Source organism: Homo sapiens, chromosome 20 (assembly GCF_000001405.40).
Source record: "Homo sapiens chromosome 20, GRCh38.p14 Primary Assembly".
Lineage (NCBI taxonomy): Eukaryota > Metazoa > Chordata > Mammalia > Primates > Hominidae > Homo > Homo sapiens.
The window spans coordinates 21,130,936-21,151,215 of NC_000020.11; the positions used below are offsets into that span (position 1 = coordinate 21,130,936).

At 40.3% G+C, this 20,280-nt stretch overlaps 1 protein-coding gene and 1 pseudogene across 14 annotated transcripts in view, besides 1 other annotated feature; one reads left to right on the forward strand and one right to left on the reverse strand.

Moving 5' to 3' along the window:
* KIZ (kizuna centrosomal protein) overlaps window positions 1–20,280 on the forward strand; it is a 120,648-nt gene that overhangs the window by 4,961 nt on the left and 95,407 nt on the right. For 7 of the 14 annotated variants that reach the window (XR_937105.4, XR_001754334.3, XR_007067468.1 and 4 more), the window contains exons 2-4: window positions 1,162–1,224; window positions 5,455–5,617; window positions 14,630–14,719. Coding sequence is in view for 11 of the 14 variants with exons in the window: in XM_011529296.4 (XP_011527598.1) it covers window positions 1,162–1,224; window positions 5,455–5,617; window positions 14,630–14,719 (316 nt within the window). In the remaining 3 variants the exon portion in view is untranslated. Of the gene's footprint in view, window positions 1–1,161; window positions 1,225–5,454; window positions 5,618–10,268; window positions 10,313–14,629; window positions 14,720–20,280 lie in introns of those variants that run through there. The other 7 variants (XM_011529299.4, NM_001163022.3, NM_001352435.2 and 4 more) reach the window with 5 other exon arrangements.
* Window positions 5,528–5,737: an enhancer, noted in NCBI's record as "active region_17619". NCBI's record gives its function as "activates an Ori minimal core promoter by ATAC-STARR-seq in GM12878 lymphoblastoid cells {active_cell/tissue: GM12878}" and the evidence as "EXISTENCE:reporter gene assay evidence [ECO:0000049][PMID:35858748]".
* Window positions 8,021–8,139, reverse strand: RNA5SP477 (RNA, 5S ribosomal pseudogene 477; annotated as a pseudogene).

The window sequence follows — 20,280 nt, forward strand, 5'->3', positions numbered from 1 at the left end:
GAGATCACCTCTGTTGGAGTCCTTATCTTTATTTCACAGCCTTTTGTTTAGGATTCTTTGCTTGGATAGAATATTATGTGGTTTCTTTTTTGGCCTTTACTTAATGTTAACTTAGATGAGCAATTTAGCTTCAATTAGGTGGGATTGAAACAAATAGTGGTGCTCAGATGGAACCCTCTGTGGCTAATCCTCCCAGGCACTCTTCTTGGGACTGAATGGCTTCATCAGTTTTATCCCCCAGCCCCCTGGTTTTGGCTGCCTCTGCTTCCTCTGCTGCCCAGTTCCCCCTCGTCCTTGCCCAGGCTGGTTGTGGGGTAAGACAGGTTTTCTCCTTAGCTTACTGCTAGCACTCACCTGAACAGCACAGGTTCAGTCTTTACTGGTAGTAGCTCCAGGAAAACAGCAACCTGTGACAAATAATGACACCATTACAGAGTTATAAAAAGAAATCCCTCCAAATTTGAAATGATGGTCTTAGAAGGCCTGGTCTTCATCAGATGTAAGTGAGGCCAGGTTTACTTTTCAGAGGTCTTTCTCTATCTCATCCACTTGGCTGTGCCCAGGCTTGTCTGGTTGAAAACAGAGCAAGCCACCAGTCTTCAATCTGTACACAAGATCTGATGGGACCCCATCACCGAAATGCCAGCGACTCAGAGAAGTCTGGCCACGTTACATTTTATATACTTATCTTGTTTATTATTGTCTGTCCTTCTCCCTAGAATGTCAACTCTTTGAGGGCAGGAGTCTTGGCTGGCTAGTTCGCCATATTAGTCTCCAGGCCTAGAACAGTGCCTGGGTCATCATAGGCACTCAGGAAATACTTGCTAAATGAAGGCACCTGCTTCTCAGACTTTTCCTATTGCATTTCCCCATTTACTTTGTGGATTTTATTCTTTTGTCTCCTATTGGTGTTCGTTTTGTTTTTTAGATTTCCCTGGCGACTGCTGCATACTTTTGTGCCTTTTGTTTTAGATGCGTCTGGCATTTTCTGCTTCTTAGACCAGAGAAGCATTTTCACAAAGGTGTGATTTGGTATTTGGGCTTTTTTTGACCTCTAATCAACACCTTGCAACAAAGCCATTATTTCAAAGAAGAGCATGGTCTAAATCCAACTCCCTGTTACTTATCATGTAATTACTTATAAAATGTTTTTTATTATAGTGAAAAGAAGAGATTGGACCTGGAAAAGAAACTTTATGAATATAATCAGTCTGATACATGCAGGTAAGAGACGACAGTGGGAACAGTTTTCAAGCCAGGTTCCATATATTAATCAAAAATGTAACCCTAATGTTATGTCATAAATATTGTAGTTAGAGTACTGGGTTTTTGGTTTTGTTTTGTTTAGTTTTTTTGAGATGGAGTCTTGCTCTTTCGCTCAGGCTGGAGTGCAGTGGTGTGATCTTGGCTCATTGTAACCTCTGCCTCCCAGGTTCAAGCAATTCTCCTGCCTTAGCCTCACAAGTAGCTGGGATACCTGAGATTACAGGTATGTGCCACCATGCTGGCTAATTTTTCTATTTTTAGTAGAGACTGGGTTTCACCATGCTGGCCAGGCTGGTCTCGAACTCCTGACCTCAAGTGATCCCCACGCTTCTGTCTCCCAAAATGCTGGGATTACAGCAGTGAGCCACTGTGCCCAGCCTAGTTGGAGTACTCTTACCATTCTCTTATTTTTAGTGTGTAATAATTTGAAATAAACAGTGCAGTTTAATATAATTACTATCAAATTTGGTTAAAATCGGTATGAGATCAAAATATGTTATTTTCATTATTTCATATTTGTTTTATTTCAAGAATCTGTTTTGCTTAAAAATCTTAAAATAAGACATAGCCTTATCTTTTTGGTTGCAATTTAAACACATTGAGCTTGTGTGATGATTAAGACATAATTACTGTAGTTGATCTTTCAAGGTACTACTGTAGGCAGGATTACCTGGTATCTCATTTGTTCATGGATATATGAGAATGACTATTAAAATTATAAGCAGTGAATAATATATTGTACGCATTATCCTTTTTAGGTTTCTTCCTCCACTATTAAGAGCAGATCTTAAATATTTTAATTTCTATTTTATAAAAACTGAACTTTATCCTTAAGCCAAAAGTATGGCATTACCTCTTATATTATTCATATGAAGAACTTCTGGCTTTGATAGCATTAAGTTTGTAATTTATCCATGTCACACTATGAGTGAGAAATGAAAAGATCTCATCCAGAAGAGAGAGAGGCCAAGAATCCTTTAAAGTCAAATTACCTATTAGGTCAGTTCTTTCCCTTGTCTTCAAAATTATTCTTTGGTTTTAAGATTTAGTGTACTTCCAAAGCTTCCAGTTGAGGTAGACAGCCGTATGACTCTAGTAACTCTGAAAGAGACAAGAAATCAGTTGTTTTGTGTGTGGAAGAAATAGCCAGCATTGTGGATGCTGTGGCCTCAAGAGTGGGCCCAAGTCTGAGGGGATCCTTGGCAGCTGCCATTTTTCTAGCCCATGGCTAAAGGGCAGAAGATTGTGTGTAGACGTTTCATGCAGTCTGTTCTTGGGAAGGCTCCTGGCCTTCTGGTGGTGGGAGGGGCAAGTGTGAGAAAAGGATGGGCACTTTTACCAAGCCGTCAGTTCACTGAGCTGCTGCTTCTCTCCCAGCCTCTTACTGTTTCCTGGAAGACAGAGGATATGATTTGCTAAAAATAGGCTTGCTTAGATTGCCTGTAGAAGAAAATCCAAACAAGGCTGCCTCCACCTAGTACCTGCCAGAAGGCAGAGTCTGAGACGAGGGTCTGTGTATAAGTGGTAATTTATTTGACAAGGTGGTCACCTAAAATTGGAGAGCAGGGCTGGGCTGACCGAAATAAGAGCTGTTCACTGCAGTGAGCACCTGGGGCTCAGTCCCTCCAGACCTTCAGAGGAGCCTTCAGAGGAGCAGTGTAGACTACCCTTCTGCTCCGCACAGTGTCTAATCCTGCGAAAGGAGATGGGGCTGTATTCCTACCGGTTTCTGACCCCCACTGGTAAGGGCAGCCCCAGGTGGAGTTAACTCCTTTACACATCTAGGCTTTTCCATGCTGCAAACTCAGAACGGCAGCCCTGAAATGCCAAGTGCAGCTGAGGCAGAGGCAGAGGCAGACGCTCTCAGGTTATACCACATGCAGCAGGCTGTGGCGGCTGTGGCGACTGTGGCGACTGTGGATGGTAGAAAAAAGGTCGGGCCAGGAGGCGTGAGGTGGGCACAAAGGGTGTCTCATCCAGCAGCCCACCAGACACGCCATTATCTGCACCCTTTTTAATTTACATTATCACCATCTCTCTCCAGCCTCTCCCTAAGATTCGACACTGACTGAAACGTCAGGCTCTTAAGCATGACGGGATGTTTTGTAATGTGGTATAAACTTCTAGGCTCTGTGGTTAGGTGCTTCACTTCCATCTGAGCCTCACCAGCTCTGAGCCGGTGACCTTGGGGCAATTACTCCAACATTCGGTGCCTCCATTTCTTCTTCTGTCAAATGGGAACAATGACAGCTGTGAGAACTCACTAAGATTCATACAAACCCTTAAAGCAGTGTCTGACCTAGAGCCAATTATTATTTATTACAATTTTATCAACATTCTTTTTCCTATTTTTTGCCGTCGAGCTTTCTGACATGCTGTTCCCCCACCTGGAATGTTTTCCCCTCATCTTTTCATTTTTGGCTTCATCAATTTTGATTAACTCTCATTCATCTTTCAGGTTTTTTTTTTTTTTTTTTTTCCCCAAGACAGGGTCTTGCTCTGTTGCCTAGGCTGGAGTGCAGTGGTGTGATCTCGGCTCACTGCAGCCTCTGCCTCCCGGGTTCAAGCAATTCTCCTGCCTCAGCCTCCTGAGTAGCTGGGATTACGGACACATACCACCACACCCGGCTAATTTTTGTATTTTTAGTAGAGGCGGTGTTTCACCATTCTGGCCAGGCTGGTCTGGAACTCCGGACCTCAGGTGATCCACCCACCTCGGCCTCCCAAAATGCTGGGATTACAGCCATGAACCCCCATGCCCGACCCATCTTTCAGGTCTTAGCTGAAAGTTATTTCCACTGGGAAGGCCTCCCTGGCCTTTTCAGCTAGGTCAGGTTGCCCGGTGTGTAGAAGTCCTTTTTAGTTTCCCTCATAGCATTCATCACGTATTTACTTATTTCATTGTTTTCTTTGTTGACCTTAGCTGAAAGACTTTGATCTTTAGAGTGCTGAATATATGGATAATTGCATGGGTAGATGAGTTACTCACTCATGTGGTCAGCTTTGAAGGTTAATGTGGTAGCTGGAATGGAACTAGAATTTGGATGGAGAAGGCATAGTACAATTGTACCCACTCCGGGTAGACACCACCAGCAGCAGCTTTACTGAGTGCCTGAGTGTGAACGACAGTATGTTAGGTTCTACCTCTGTTACAGTTACTTGCGTCAAAAATGCAGAGACATGGGCAGCAATAAGACCAGCCTTCAGTTTTTATTCAGAAAGAAAAATGAAGACAGCCAACCATGGTCAAAGCGCAGAATTATTAACACGATAAAGACTTTCTTGAAAATTGTTGGCCTAGGATTGGAAGTTTAAGATCTGTTGTTAAACAACTTTGGACATCTCCAGCATCTTTGCAAATCTTTGTTTTGAGGGTGAATATTTTTGTCATTTTAAATTTTATTTTTGTTTGATGAAAGAATGTTGAATAATTTATTGAGCCAACAATTGAAATGCTGTATAACAGGGAAGAAGAGTTAGGATTAACAGCGTTGGTGCCATGAGAAAAGTCGACTACACAACTTGAACTATCCAGTATGTTTTTTTATGTACAGAAAAATTGGAATGCAGAATATGTTTTTGCTATTATACTTTGGATAAGAGTCTGAAAGTTTTTTTCACAGTTGGAGTAATTATAGTCCATATATTATAAAATATTTTAATAGTGAATTATATTGTAGCAATTTCTAACAAGTATGTTTATATTATCTAAATGAGAGCTTTTGGTATTTTACATTTTTAAATTTCTTTTTAATTTCTTAATTTTATGGGTTGTGATTTGTAGTTTGATTTAATTCCATATGAGCAGTTATTTTTGAAATTGTCATATGTAAGAATGTTAGTGAGCCATTCGTCGAACATGTCCACATAGACACTACTCTTGAAATCACATTTAATTTTGAGAAATAAATCCATAGAAATCTTTACTGTGTGAATGTTAGAATGTGGTCTTATATATATTTCTCAGGGGAGTTATGCTTAGAGGAAACCGATATGATACCTCAGTGGTGCTGCATTAACTTTCTCTCTCCAAAAATGTGTATATACATTTTGTTGTTTGGGTTTCGGTGGTTTGGGTAAAATACCTTAGAATACATTGTCTCATTAACAATTTTGATGAAGAAAATTCCCTTTCTTAGATTCGTCCAAGTCTAGTCCATTGTTTTAAAACTGCTTTTAATTTTCTAGAGTTAAGCTGAAATATGTAAAACTAAAGAATTATCTGAAGGAAATATGTGAATCTGAAAAGAAGGCTCATACTCGAAACCAAGAATATTTAAAGCGATTTGAGCGTGTCCAAGCTCATGTTGTACACTTCACCACAAATACAGAGAAGCTTCAAAAACTGAAGGTGACTTCCTGTTTTTTACTGTGTTTTATTTTATTTGTTGTTGTGTGTTTTTTTTTTTTTCTTCAAGATGAGACCTCACTGTGTTACCCAGGCTAGACTTGAACACCTGGGCTCAAGCAGTCCTCCTGTCTTAGCCTCCTGAGTAGCTGGGATTACAGGTGCACACCCCATGTAGCTGTGTACCTCCCGAGTAGCTGGGATTACAGATGCACACCCCAGGTTTATGTTTTGTTTTTAATCTTTTTTTTGCTAAAATGAGAAATAATGAGTACTAAGTTTCAGATCAGTGGTAGTCACTAATGTTTTGTTGTTCATAATTAGGATTAAGTATCAGCTTTTTCTGTGAATTACCATGTGGCTGAATTTTATCAGGGAACTTGAAACTGCATTTTCCAAGATTCTTCTTTAGTTAAGGAATCAATGGGATATCTCTAACACAGGCAAGATCACTAGCCAGTACCTGGCACGGTGTAACACATGGTATTTGTTGGCTGAATGACTGAATTTGAGCAGCATTGGGGTTCTCTCTAGAAACTGATTCTGTCTTGAAAGGGTTCTTTTTCTGTGGTCTGGGCCCCTCTTCTCTGGCAAACAGTGCATTGGGAGAGTAGTAAGGGTAGAACTGTCCCCGAGGAGTTTGCCTTTATGCTCCTGGTCTGTGTGACCCAGAGTGACTGCCCTTGCAGCTCTCTCTGGTTCTGGCACCTTTTTCCCCTTGAAGTGCAGGTGCTTGGCTGCCTGCTGCTGCTTGGCTTCCTGCTGCTCCACAAATTATGCCAAGTGTGGAGGGCCAGGAGCTAGGCCTTTATCCTCACCATTTGCACTGGTCAGGTGTTGTCCAATGTAACCCATCTTAACACTGGTCACAGGAGGAGTTGGATTCAGTATTCTGCCTGCTAGCCTGCTACTGAGCCCCCCTACCTTTTTTTTTTTTTTTGCCCTGCAGTTTTTCTTCAGCCTTTTATTGTAAAATTTTCAAATACACAGAAGAGTTAGCATAATTATTATGATGAACACTCATAATTCTCCACTTAGATGCAGTAGTTGTAAATATCTTGTTATATTTGCTTTGTATGTGTATTTTTTTTTTTCTCTGAGCCATTGAAAGTCTGCTGCAGGCATCATGACACTTCTTTCCTAAGCACTTGAGCGTGGATCTCCTAAATGCAGGGACAGTCTCCTACATAATCATACCATTATCACGTCTAAGAAGATTAAAAATGATTCCACAATTTGCTTTTTGAGACAGGGCCTTACCATGTCATCCAGGCTGAAGTGCAATGGCGTGATCATGGCTTATGGTAGCCTCAACCTTCTGGGCTCAAGCGAGCCTCCCTCCTCAGCCTCAAGCTGGGACTATAGGCATGCACCACCATGCCTGGCTAATTTTTTATTTTTTTGTAGAGATGAGGTCTCACTATGTTGCCCAGGCTGGTCTCGAACTCCCAGTCTCAAGAAATTATCCTAACTTGGCCTCCCAGAGTGCTGGAATTATGGGTTTGAGCCACTGCACCCAGACATAATATTTAATTTTCAGCTCGTATTCAGATTTCCCCACTTCTCCCAAAAAGTAACTTATTTTTCCAGACTAGGAGCCAACTAGGGCTCATGTATTGTTTTCTATGTTATTGATTATTGTGCCTTTTTTGTCTCTTTTAATCTAATTTAGTCTCCTACCATTCCTCCTTTTTTTTCCCCATGTCATTGGCTATTTTGAAAAAGGCAGTCCATCTGCTTGTAGAGTGATCCGCATTCTGAATCTAAGGCATCATTTAACTTGCACAGCATCCCCTGTATTTCCTGTGAACTGGAAATGTGGTCTAAACAAGCACTGTCCAGTAGAATTTTCTGCAGTGATGACAATGTTCTGTATCTATGCTGATGCTATCTAATACAGCTACTGCTCATATATGGCTGTTGAGCACTTAAAATGTGGCTTGTGACACTGAAGACTGTATTTTTAATTTTGTCAATTTTAATTAATTTTAATTTAAATAGTTACACCTGAGGTTATACTTCCAACTGCATCCCATCAGGAGGCCCATGATGTCAGGTGGCCCCTGGGTGAGGCTGACTTTGACCCCTTGGTTAAGATGATGATCTCTAGATGTCTCTATTGTAAGGTACATTTTTTTCCCCTTTTGCATATTAGTAACTCATCTATAGAGTGATGGGTTGGCATCATGGGAATATTGTGTTCCTTAGTATCCTTTTACCTAATGGTTTTAGAACCTATAGATCTGAGCCTTGCCTGAACCAGTTATTTCTAGTGGAGGTTATGAAAAGTGGTGATTTTCTGTTTTATTGTATCTTCTGTTAGCTGACTTTCCTCTATAACGAAGAATGTTTTCCCCCTTTTCTTTCTTTCAACCTCTTTTTTTTTTTTTTTTTTTTTTTTAAAGCCTACAACAGCACCTGGTATTCCCAGGAAGTCTCCCATCCAAGTATGAAACCGGCCCAACCCTGCTTAGCCTTCAAGATCAGATGAGAGCAAGCGTGTTCAGGGTGGTATGGCCGTAGGACCTTTTTTTTTTTTTTTTAATGTTATGATGGACTTGTGAATTTCTATTTACTAGTATGTTATCAATTACAGTAATTATTCTTTTTGTTGTTTTATCGTCTTATATTTGGCCAATTGGAGTCTCTCCAGATTGGCTCCTGTGTCCTTTTGACATAACCCCGTTAATTCTGAGCCTTCTTTGATCTGGGGCATAACAAGATATTCCAGGTTTACCTCACATTTTTTCTCCCTCAGATATGGAATTAACCTCCTATCCAAGGAGCTGTGGTTCTTTTTAATGGAGAGGGGTATTTAGAAACCAAGATATATGGTTAAATGTGTTCAAGCAATAGCAAGTTTTAGCTTCCCAATTTTTTCTTTTAGTATTCATGAAAAATGTTTAAAGTTCAAAAAAAGTTGTCATTATCAATGTTGTAAACCACTTTTCAAAGATTTCATGGAGAAAATGAAAGTGATGGGCAAAGGAGGGAATTTTGTCTTCCCAATAAAATAAAGGAAATAATAGAACATTTCTGCTTATCTTCATATTGAGGCTTCATTTAATAGTTGATTTCTTATTATAACCAAATTTGAGAGGAAGGAATTTGAAGGGAAGAATCATCTTTTGTAATTTTTTATATTGAGAGCATTCATTATATAAAATAGGATATGTTATTAAAAAAACCTTGTATGAGCTGCTTAAGACTATCAACATGGGGGACCATTTTAACATGACAAACTAGATAGGAATATGAAAAGCTTTATTAATAAACATGGTTCAAAAATTATGTAGGTGTTCCTTATTTGAATTTTGGATAAGGAATGCCTTTAAAAAAATTCTTCTAGTAGCGTAAAAGACCAAATCATGGCACTACACTCAGGAAGGATGTGAGTTCCATGGAGAACTGGACTTTGGCCATCACCCTAGGTCCAAAGCCAATGAATGTTTGTTGTGTGCCTACGAACCCAGACAGCAATGTCAGCGACCCCTCCAGTGATCCCATCTTCTTCAGCAGGCTGTGCAGTGAGCTGAGGTTCAACATAGGGGATGTTTGTCTCTGGTGTTTTCCCATTTCTTTCTGCTTCTTCCTTTTGGGCCAGAGTCCAGAGGTGGCCCAGGTATGCCAGAACCACTTGTCTCCTCTTAATGCTGCCATCCAGGTATCAGATGTTTACCTCCTTTCTTGACTGACCTCACATAAGTCTTGGGAGAAAGGTGTTCACAGTGCATTGCCCACACACCCCAAAATGCCACAGGTATTGCACCTTGAACAGACTACAGTTAATACAAATGAACTTCAAATTGGTAGAATTCCAGAAAGTGCAACCAAGTGAAGCAGTGTGAGAGAAGTGGGGGTTTTGCCCAAACTGATACCAAGTGACTTTCTCCCACTTTGTAGAGGTGGGCTGGGCCCAGTTCACTATATAATGCTAAAATCTCCTAAAATGAGCTAAATACTGAAAACACTGTCAACTGATTTTATGACTCATAATACTTTATTTGGAGGCCTATAATAATTTTCAGGGCTTTTAAAGGATATTGACGTGTTATGTAGTTTTGAAAATACAGTGTTATATCTATGCTGCTACTTGTCAGTTGGATAAAGGGGCTGAATAAACACAGTTCAAAAATATAAATATTAGGTCTGGGCATGGTGGTTCATGCCTGTAATCCCAGTGCTTTAGGAGGCTGAGGTGGGAGGATCACTTGAGGCCAGGAATTCGAGACCAGCCTGGGCAACATAGTGAGACCCCATCTGTACAAAAAATTTAAAAATAAAATTTAAAAATTAAATTTAAAATTAGCCAGCTGTAGGAGTGTGCACCAGTAGTCTCAGCTGCTCAGGAATCTGAGATGGGGGGGGATCATTTGAGCCCAGGAGGTTGAGGTTATAGTGAGCTATGATGGTGACACTGCAGTCTAGCCCTGGCGACAGAGCAAGACCCTGGCTCTCCAAAAAAAATTAATAATAATAAAGTAAATTAAAAAAACCCAAGAATGTAAATATTAGTATTAATGCTGTGAGGAGTCTGCCCTCCTCTCCCTCATTCTGCCCCCCTACTCCCTGTATTAGCTGCTTTTGTAGAGGGGGCCCCAGTTGGTCCTAACTTAAAGCAGTTTCACTCAGGTCCCCATTATCCTTGTCTCAGGTTGGGTTCTCCCTGAAGCAGACCTGGAGAACAGGGATTTGACGGTAAGTGGTTGATTTGGGAAATAAGGAATATCAGTAGGAAATGGGGGAAGGGAGGCAGGGAGGGCACTGGGTGTATTATTAAGCTAGCTACCATAGTCAGCCTGGCGCCAAATCCTACAGGGAACTTCTGGTAAGTGGTTTGCACATTCGGGATATGTGTCCAGCAGCTCCTAAGCAGCATTGATTGAGGACTGCTGAGCAAGGTTGTAGGTGGTAGGGAATTAACCAAACACTCTCCAGAGCAGCCTTCCCAGGTTCTGAGAAGCCTTAGGCACGGAGCCCCAGATTCCAGAAGTTAGGAGTGCCCAGAAAGGTCCTAGGGATGTGTGTAGAACGTTGCCAGCATCTGCCTTAGCCTACCTCATGGCAATATTGCCAGGCATGGGGTCTACATGTCAGGGCATTCAGGGAGGATCCCCATGGCAGGCACAAGAGTCTTCATCTGGTTAGGTCTCTCCTTGGCCTGAAATGCTGGCCCAGGCTTTTGAGGACAAAGCCCAGGTGCTGGTCTCTGCCTGCACAGAGCAGCCTCACCCTTATTACTCCTCCCAACACACACACACACACACACACACACTCTCTCTCTCTCTCTCTCTCTCTCTGTGTTTGTCTCTCTCACACAAATACACAGACGTGCACATTTTTTCTCCTCATCTCTCCCTAATTTCCCCCCTCCACCTTCTCCTGCCATCCCCATTTCTCCCTCTTATCTCTCCCCTGTCTCCTATTCCTGTCTCCTTGCCTCTTCTTGCCCCCAAATCTGTCTTCTCCAGATCCTCTAACTCTTCCACCCCCATATCTTCCCACTGTCTCTCTACATCTTTATCTCCCGCACACGTACACACACACTCTCTCTCACACATACACACATACACACTCTTACATGCACCCGCGGTGCTTTAAGCATGCTGGACAATTTGCATTTCCTTGAAAGCACCACATTATCTCATACCTCCTTCAATTAGAAGGCCTTTTTCCCCCTGCCCTGCCTTAGGTCTGTGTCATAATTATCTCAGTAAGCACTTCCTTCATGGTATTATAATTGTTTACATGTCTGTTTTCCCACTTCACTGTGAGCTCCTTGTCTTATTATTTCAATGCTCTCAGTATCTGACCCATAATATGGCACATAATAAGCACTCAGTAAGCATTGAGACTTCCCCCTTGACTGAAATTAATTCTTCCATATTTTTTGTCTCATTCTGTTATGGACCATGAACTACTACTATGTGAGAACTAATGTGGTATTGATGATACTCTTTATTATACCTTCCCAGTTAGCATTTCTGTTTAATAGCAGAGGTATTCTGAATATATAATGTCATTATTTAAAGATGTGATTCTCCAGGCCTGGACAACATGATGAGAACCTGTCTCTACAAAAAAATAGAAAAAATTAGCTGGATGTGGTGGCATGTGCTCTAGTCCCAGCTATTTGCGAGGCTGAGGTAGGAGGATAGATTAAGCCTGGGAGGTTGAAGGGCAGTGAGTTGTGATCATGCCACTGCACTCCAGCCTGGGTGACAGAGCAAGCCCTTGTCTCAAATAAATAAATAAATAAATAAATAAAGTAAAATAGATGTGTTTCTCCTTGAAAATTCAGTCATTAGGTTATGTATGCCTATAAGGGGCTAATATTTGAGAACAAGTCTTTTGAACTCTGATTTGGTTTCTGCTGAGGATTGTGACAGACATTGTGAGCAGGGCACAACCTTCATGCCCCTGGAGGGCAAAGTGTGTAGCAAATACCACTTTTTATCAACCAAAGTGTCTTGCCTGTTAATATGCATTAGTTGAACAAATGAACGTTCCCCCATATCTTTGGTAAAAGTTCACGATCTAAGAGGAAGCACAGATATTGGAAAAAAATAGGAGAAGAGAAAACAAAAGACTGTGAAGCTTAGTTGCATCTCTCATACTGACTTGAGGATCAAATCAGCCCATTATGTAACTCTCTGTACCCATTTCCTCAACTCTAATGTGAGGAGACAGGGCCAGCAGATTTTAAACGTCGATTCAGTTCAATTATTCACTTATTCTGTAACTTGAGAATTAGCTGTGCAACCCTGAAAAACAATGAAAAAGGAAATCTGTAGCAAAAAAAGATAGTGGTGGCACTTTCAGGCAAACAGTAAAGTGATGGAGGGGAAATTGACGGAAGTGAGAATGCAGAAAGTATCATAATGGAAAACGTTTGTGAGCATGGAGAGAAATCCCAGAGACCTGAAACTTCTGCCAGAACCTCCATCAATCCTCCATCAATCTGTTAATCGTTGTTAACAGATTTCATTAATTCAGCTGAAATAAATTACATGTGCATACTGAGGAAGTAAATGGAAAGGTTCTGCTAAATTTAGGTGGGCAGCATCAAGCCAGTGCTGTGAAGCAATACAGTGACAGACAGAACAAGTTACCTGATGGATTAACTCAGTGCTCTTGGGTTTATTAAAACAGATTTCTTGGGTTGGGGCAGGGGAGATAAGGGAATTATTTATCCCTAGAGGGGCTCCAGACCAGGAGATGTTACTGGGGCATGAGTAGGCTCTGGAGAGCGCTGTGGAAAACTCCTGCTCTCCAGTGTTCCGGACATGGATAATAACCAGGTGTTGTATGCAAAAATAAAAAAGAAAAAGAGAACAAAGTATTTTTTGATGGAAATCCATGGTCCCAGGGGATATAGACTTACATTCTGTATCATTAATTTATCATTGTATCTCTCTGACTTCATTGTGCGATTTCTGTTTGCATTATTAATTTAGCTAAAGAGTATCTACAGTTGAGTGACTTTTTCAGTTGCATTGAGAGCAGTCTAAATTGGGCTTTTAAAGATACTTCTTTCTGTTCTTTAGGAAGACTTTATGCAGTTATCACTTCCTTTTTCCTTCAGCAAAATGAATTGAATAAAACTCTCATATTTCTATGAGAAAGTGCTCTGTCTTTGGAAGGTATGGCTCTGAAATGATCCTATAATGAGGAAATCAGGTACAATGCTCATTGATCTCAAAGAGCGTAAGAAAACATTTGTAGTCACAAGAAAAAAGAATTTTTATTTAACCTGTAATTATATGTTTATATTGTAATTCATCCCCCATTTCTTTTTGAGATACTATCCCTTGGAATCTGTAAAGGATGCCTGTTTAAAGCTCTTGGGGCTAAAATGTAAACATCTCTAAGTTCAGAGGAATAGATATGGAACAGAGAGATGTAAATTGTATCTTTGTTATTGCTTTATCTATTCCTAGTTTATTATTTTATCATTTGTACTGGCCTGATAAAATTTTCATTTAATTGGGTATCTATTTAGAGAATTACTGCCATCTATCATATAGTACTCTGCTGGAGAAAAAAAAATCCATACCTAACTGTTACTAAAAATGAGACAGCATATATTACCTTTCAAAATATTTTGAGGGAAACAAATCAGTTTGGTTATTATTGCCCATTTGTTTTTCGTATGTCAAAACAAAGCTCAGGCCTATTTTATGTTCAGAGAACTAAGGAAACAGCTTTCTCATTTCATCTCATAGGTGTGTTTCTAATTACAGTGCATACCTGCCTAATTTAGAAAATGTTCTGATACTTATCTTTGATGGACCACAATCCATGACTTTTTTAAGGCTTTAATTACTAGCGTACTGAATCAAAGTGCTTTTTTATGCCTTGCTTTTAAGAAAAAGCCATTTTAAGATTGAATCACTTTCACCAATTATAGTGTGGTGATGATGCAGACATCTTTATGTAGTTATTAGTGCCAGAGCAAATTGGTTTCTGATCATTGATGTCTGCAGTATATTTTTATTCATAGAAAATGGAATTTGTTTTAAGTTGATGATCTAGCAAGTATGCTCAATTGCTGTGACGATCAGAATCATGATATTTTGTAGATATCATATAGATAAGAAATCAGTAGGATTGATTTTTTTTGTTTGTTTGGGGCAAAACTTCTAAAAGGAAACACTGTCTAATGTGCTACTTTCATAATAAAGGAATTGTATTTTTGTGATAAAGTATCAAACTGTATACATATATATACACATATACATGTGTATATATATAAAGATTTTATTTCCTAAGTTGATGAAAGTAAAAATCCATCAAATCTTATTTTATTTAAAAATTGTAGCATTTTGTAAAATTCAACTTTTGATATGTGTCATTTGCAAAATTGTTCATTTTCTAAGATAAGGTGAATTTCTTGGCAACATCAGCTTTTACTTTCTACTTCAATGCTCCCTGTATGTTGTAAAGACCGCAGTATACAGACAGGTGCTAGTTGTAAAAATATTTATCACAAAATCAAACTTTCTTTATATTTAGCTCGAATATGAGACTCAAATTAAGAAGATGCTATGCTCAAAAGATAGCCTGGGACTAAAAGAGGAACTGACAGATGAAGACAGAGAAAAGGTAATAAACTAAATTGGTAACCTTTCTGTTAACAGAGGAATTCTGGAGTGTTTATATCTTGAGATATTGTTTTAAATAAAATCATCTTATTAGGAAGATCCCTTTGATTAAACCTTACGTGATTATTTAAAGATTTTTGCTTACAGAATATTGCTTTAATGTCTAATTTAATTAAGTTTGCTGAAAGGGTGTTACTTTGTGAAGAAAGGATAGACTCTAAAGAAAACCTCAGTGTTGTCAGTAGGTAAAATTGTTTTTCTAAATCATGCCTTGTAGCTGCTCTTTTCTTAGTTTGAGAAGTGTTTTAAATGAAAAGTAAACAAAATATGGCATTTTGATTCTTTTATTTGTGCGAATATACATAATTTTGTACATTTTAACCTTTGCACAGAAAACGTGGAAAGAAAAGATTGCATATCTAAGCAATAGACAAAAAGATCGACAAGGAATACTTAAATAAATTCTGCTATGTATCTGCTATAATGCAGGCTTCTAATCCTCCTGCCTATCTCCATATAAATGATTCTGTTCAAGACCGTAGATGTTTTCTTCACTAAAAGCAGTAAAGCTCTTTTAGATGAAATGTCTAAAAACATCTTGTAATAACTTGGAGCATGCTGGCAAGAGTAGTCACTTGTGACTATGTGTGAAACCCCCTCAGCCAGTCGATATTGTAATAAGCAAAAATGGTAGCATCACTCCATTATTCAGAAAAGCCAACAGCGTGCTTGTTCCTTAGGCTGCAGCATTCATTAAGAAAAGCTTACTGGGCTGAAAGCTGGAAACAGATGATAACGGGATATGATTTTCATATTTAATGCTTTCCTTGGAAGAGTGTGTGTGCTACAGATTGATAGAAGAATCAACTGCTACTTTACTAAAAGACTTTCAGGTTTGCCCTATAGCTACCGATGGAATCATTCAGCCAAGAAATTAACTTTTTCTCCTTTTACCTGCTTTATATATCTGCTAAGCAGGCTGCCTGGCTGCCAGTAAATGTTATTATGCAGTTAACTGTTGGGTATTTAAGACTCTTATCAGAAAAGAAACAGAGGCCACACTATTTTGTTTTTATAGTAGGAGGAAGGTTTTAGTTTTTCTTTCTTCCGTGCATTAGCAGGCATTAATCTGAGTTTATAGGAAGTTTTCGTTTTCCTTCCTCATAGATTAAAAAATTAAAAAAAAAACCCTAGAACTTAGAGCATTCTTTAAACTGTAAGATACAAAACACCAAGCCCCAGCAACCTTGACCTATATAAAAAGGCTTTAATGATAAATGACGTATATGCCATTCGATGTAGGCCAAATGTGGTATGATGTGATAGAATTTTAGAGCATTCAGGCAGTTTTTCTATTTGATATTCGGTCATGAAATAATTGATGTGTTTTAATCTAGAAGCCAGTTAGTTCTTTCTATGCCATTCTTGATAGACATATTCTTAGCACGGCAGTGTCAATGGTACTTCAGGAAAACGGAAGCTTTTTTTTTCTTTATTTACCCACTGATTCTTTACCTTGCATGTAGTTGTGGAGTCTCCTTTTAGGACATATTTAAAATTAGGGCAAGAGACATACAGTTGACAACCCCTTAAAATGTTACATATAATAATTAGAAGTCTTTTCATTTATATGGAAAGGTGTCATTTCCTTAAAAGCTTTGACTATTGGCTGTATAAGAATCGATTAGGTAACACTTTGAGAAATTTATATTTTGCATTTTCTAATTTTCCATTGATGTTCAACCAATTAAAAGGTAAATACATTTCAGCAAAATCATGTTTTAGTTAATCCTTATACTAATTCCTGAACCATTCCTTATCATATGAGTTATAGCTTATTGTTTAGTGGAAATCCAAGCTTCTCTTCTTTGGGCAGTCATATGAATTGGTCTTGGTCATTGACCTCCAGGGCCTTTCCTGAAGCATAGTACAGTCACTGGTTGAATCAATAAATAGTTGTTAAGCATCAGTTCTCTTTGAGAAGCAACAGTAGGCCCCTCTATGAAGGCCACAATTTTCTTACCTTCAGAGTGCTTCTCAGAAAGCAATGTTCTTTCTAAGGCACAGAATAGTGTGTGATAAAGTGCCAGTCACGTGGGACAAACATGAGCAATGAGAAGAAAGAAGATTCTGCTTCCTGTGAATTGAGTAATCCCAGCCCTGGTGGAGGAGGTGGTGTGTGAGCTGGCATAGAAGGATGTGCAGGATGCCAGTCAGTGGTAGAAAATGAGCTTGGAAAGCTACCTTGTGGGATTTGGTACCTGGAACTATGGTCCCAGGCTAAGAACTGAGATTTCCTCCTGGAATTTGTGTGTGTGTGTGTGTGTGTGTGTGTGTGTGTGGCAGCAGATGAAGGAAGGACTTGTGAGCAGAGCAGTCACATCCCATGTGTGCAGCTGCGGGAAGATGAGGCTGGCAGTGCTGTGCAGGATGAGCCTGGGGAGGAGTACGTGGAACTGAGGAAATCAGGCTCCATTCAGACAGGAGGAATTAACAGAATGGAGGACCTGTATTGGGGATGGCCATTGAGGTGGAAAACACTAACAAAGGGGAGAGGATCTATCAAATTGGTGATCATTCTGAATTATAAAAAGGTATTTTTTAAGTGGCTATACAGCTTTCAACCATAGGCAGTAACTTGGATGCCAAGAAAAGTCATCAAGTGGTGTGTGTCCATTTTTTAAATATAAAAACTCTGGCTCAGTTTTGGTGTAGGACATCTATTATTTGCTTGCATCCAGTAGTTGCTCTTTAGAATCATACATTCGCTTAGAAGGATTAATAGTTAGTCTGTTCATCTGCCATGCTTGTTTCCACTATTAATTTACTTAGTCAGCTTACAAAAAATGTGTCTTACCAAAAAGGCACATTTCAAGCCCCACTCAGATCCTCACAAATTTTACTATAGTAATTCTTCACCTCTATTATATATATTGTTATTTTTTATTTTGGGGGCAAACTCTGTTTCCAGACATGTTCTTCTGGTTGAAGAACGGTGACTAGAGAATATACATAAAAACACATAAAAATGTATGTCCTCAAGAAAGATTGAGATGGCGTTTTTGAATGACAGTATACATTTGGGGATAGGGTTGTAAGGTTTCTTTGAACTATTATGCTGTGAAATATATTCTACTAGAAATAGAAGCAAACTGATCATACTCTGTCAGGGATGGATAGGTGTGGAGGACCAGGGAATTTCATCACAGAGCTGAAGGCTTGTTGAGGAGCTTCACTTCCACTGTGGTAACCCTCCCTGCAAGGATCAGGTGGGAGAATGGTTATAAAGGTGTTATTCCCACTTTTAATACTGGTAGTAACAATGGGTAATAATCACTGCACTTTTACTTTGCTAGGTGCTGCGTTAACACTTTATGTGTATCAACTCATTTAATCTTCTCAACAACCCTGGAAGTAGAGGATATTGTTGTCCCCATTTTATAGTAAGGCTCAGAAAATTTAGTTAACTTGCCGAAAACTACACAACCAGGCAGAACCAATATTCAAACCCAGACCACTGGACTTCAGCATCCATGCTGTTAACCACCTTGCAGCAATGCCCTCTAAGGTAGTATGGGTAAAAGATAGTATGGGTAGCTCTTCAAAAGTTGGAGAAATTCCTGGTGAAATAAAAACAACTTTAAATACTGCATTTTTACCTAGACTTGAGGGAGGAAATGGTCTTCCTTGGTGCTGTAGTATTTGAGCTGAATCAGGTGAGCCATGGCAAGCTGAGGACCCGCCCCCTAAACTGCCCATGTTTGCAATAAAAGAAGCGTCCGTTTCGGTTGGCTTTGTTGGGCAGAAGAAATGCCTTACAACTCGACTGAAGAAGAACTTGAAGGGAGAAAGCCTGCACGGCCACAGGAGGCAGCTGTGTGCCTGGTATGCAGGGATGAGCTCTGCAGTGGCTTTAGCCACGGATCTGAGCATGTGTCCGAGGTGCTCCCAGGAGCAGTGCCACTGCAGGAGAGGCACACGTCAGAGAAGACAGCACCCCAGTATGAGATGATGGAAAGGGTTCTTCCATTCCAGATGTGTTCCCAGGATCTGAGCACCATTCATAAGACCAAGGCAGCCACTGTAGGACCTGGCTCATCTCCAAGGAGTAAAGGGACCAGATACCTTGTGTGGGGGAAACTTGATTGAAATAAATATTGCAGCAAGGGAGAAAGGAATCCTAAAACTATACTGAAAGAGCAAGTGACTTAGGTTGGAATCCCCTGGGAAGGACCCTAACACAAGGATTTGAGTGTAAGTAGTTTATATGGGAGGTGGTCCCAGGAAGCACAGATAGAAAAGAGAGGAAGATGGCATGGGGAAGGGAAAGCGGGCTGTAAGAGTGTGTGATTGAGTGGGTTATCACTCATAGCACCTGGTGCTCAGTCCCATTGGGGAACCTTGGATGACTGTGTAGGGCATGCCTCAGGGATATCCCATTCAAGGAGTAGGAAAGGGAGGTTTTTCCCCTCCAGGTCTGTCACTACCAGAGTGCCACGCCTGGCTCCTCTTCTGGTGCTGCACAGCAGCTGAGAGAAACGCTTGGGCCAAGAGGCACAGGTGCTTAGAGGAGGACACTGGGCAGGTACTGGAATGATGAGGGCCCAGGGATATGGGCCCGCCCTCTCACACCTGCTAAGGGAAATAACAGTGGGTGGAGGAGGTAGAGGTTATTCCTTTGAGTTCTCTGTATAAGCCCGATTTCTTATCCTTATTAGCCCACAGTGCCACCTTCACCAGCAGCCTCCTTGAATCACTGCTCAACTATAAACAACACAAAAATCTCCCTAGACGGGGGCTCTGAGCAGTTGCCTTCACGGGGAACGTGGCCCTCGGTTCTGCCATTCTCAAAGTTATGGCTGTACTTGATTTAGACAGAGCCATGACAAGTCAAAAAGTAGCCTCTCTGTGTTCAGCTGGACCTTTTTATATTAACTGATTTCTTATTTATATGTGTTTGTATTCAGAAAACAATTAGAAATTAACCCGAATTACACAAATTGTATTTCAAGCCCTGGCCCTAAAACTACATCTGCAGATCTGCAGACCTTTTTTTCAAGAGAGGGTAGAACATGCTCTTCTCTCCCAGCTCACTTGACAGTAAGCTTCCACATGGCAGGGCCCAGCCCCTTCTTGCCTGCCACACCACCCCACAGCACCCTGCACCTGGTGAGTGATGATAACCTGCTGACCTGAAAGGAGGAAGAGGGGTGGGCTGCTCTCTGAGTGAAGGGTACTCCCCATTTCATGTGGTGTTCGAGGGCAGATGACATTTGGACTCTCCACTCCTGCTTTTGGGGGTGCCTTCCAAGGAGCTGGTGGGGAGTGTGGCTCTGATGGACAGCTCCCCCATGGGTCTTTCAGGCACTATTCTAAGGATTTTATATAATATAGGCGTATAGAAATACACATTGGTTACAGCAACCTTACAAAATAAGAACTATTTTAATACCCATTTTACAGATTAAGAAATGGGAGCTCAAATAAGTAACTTAATTTCTTAGTCACACAGCTAGTAAGTGGCATACTGGTCTGGAGTCTTAATAAATACATCAGTCTGCT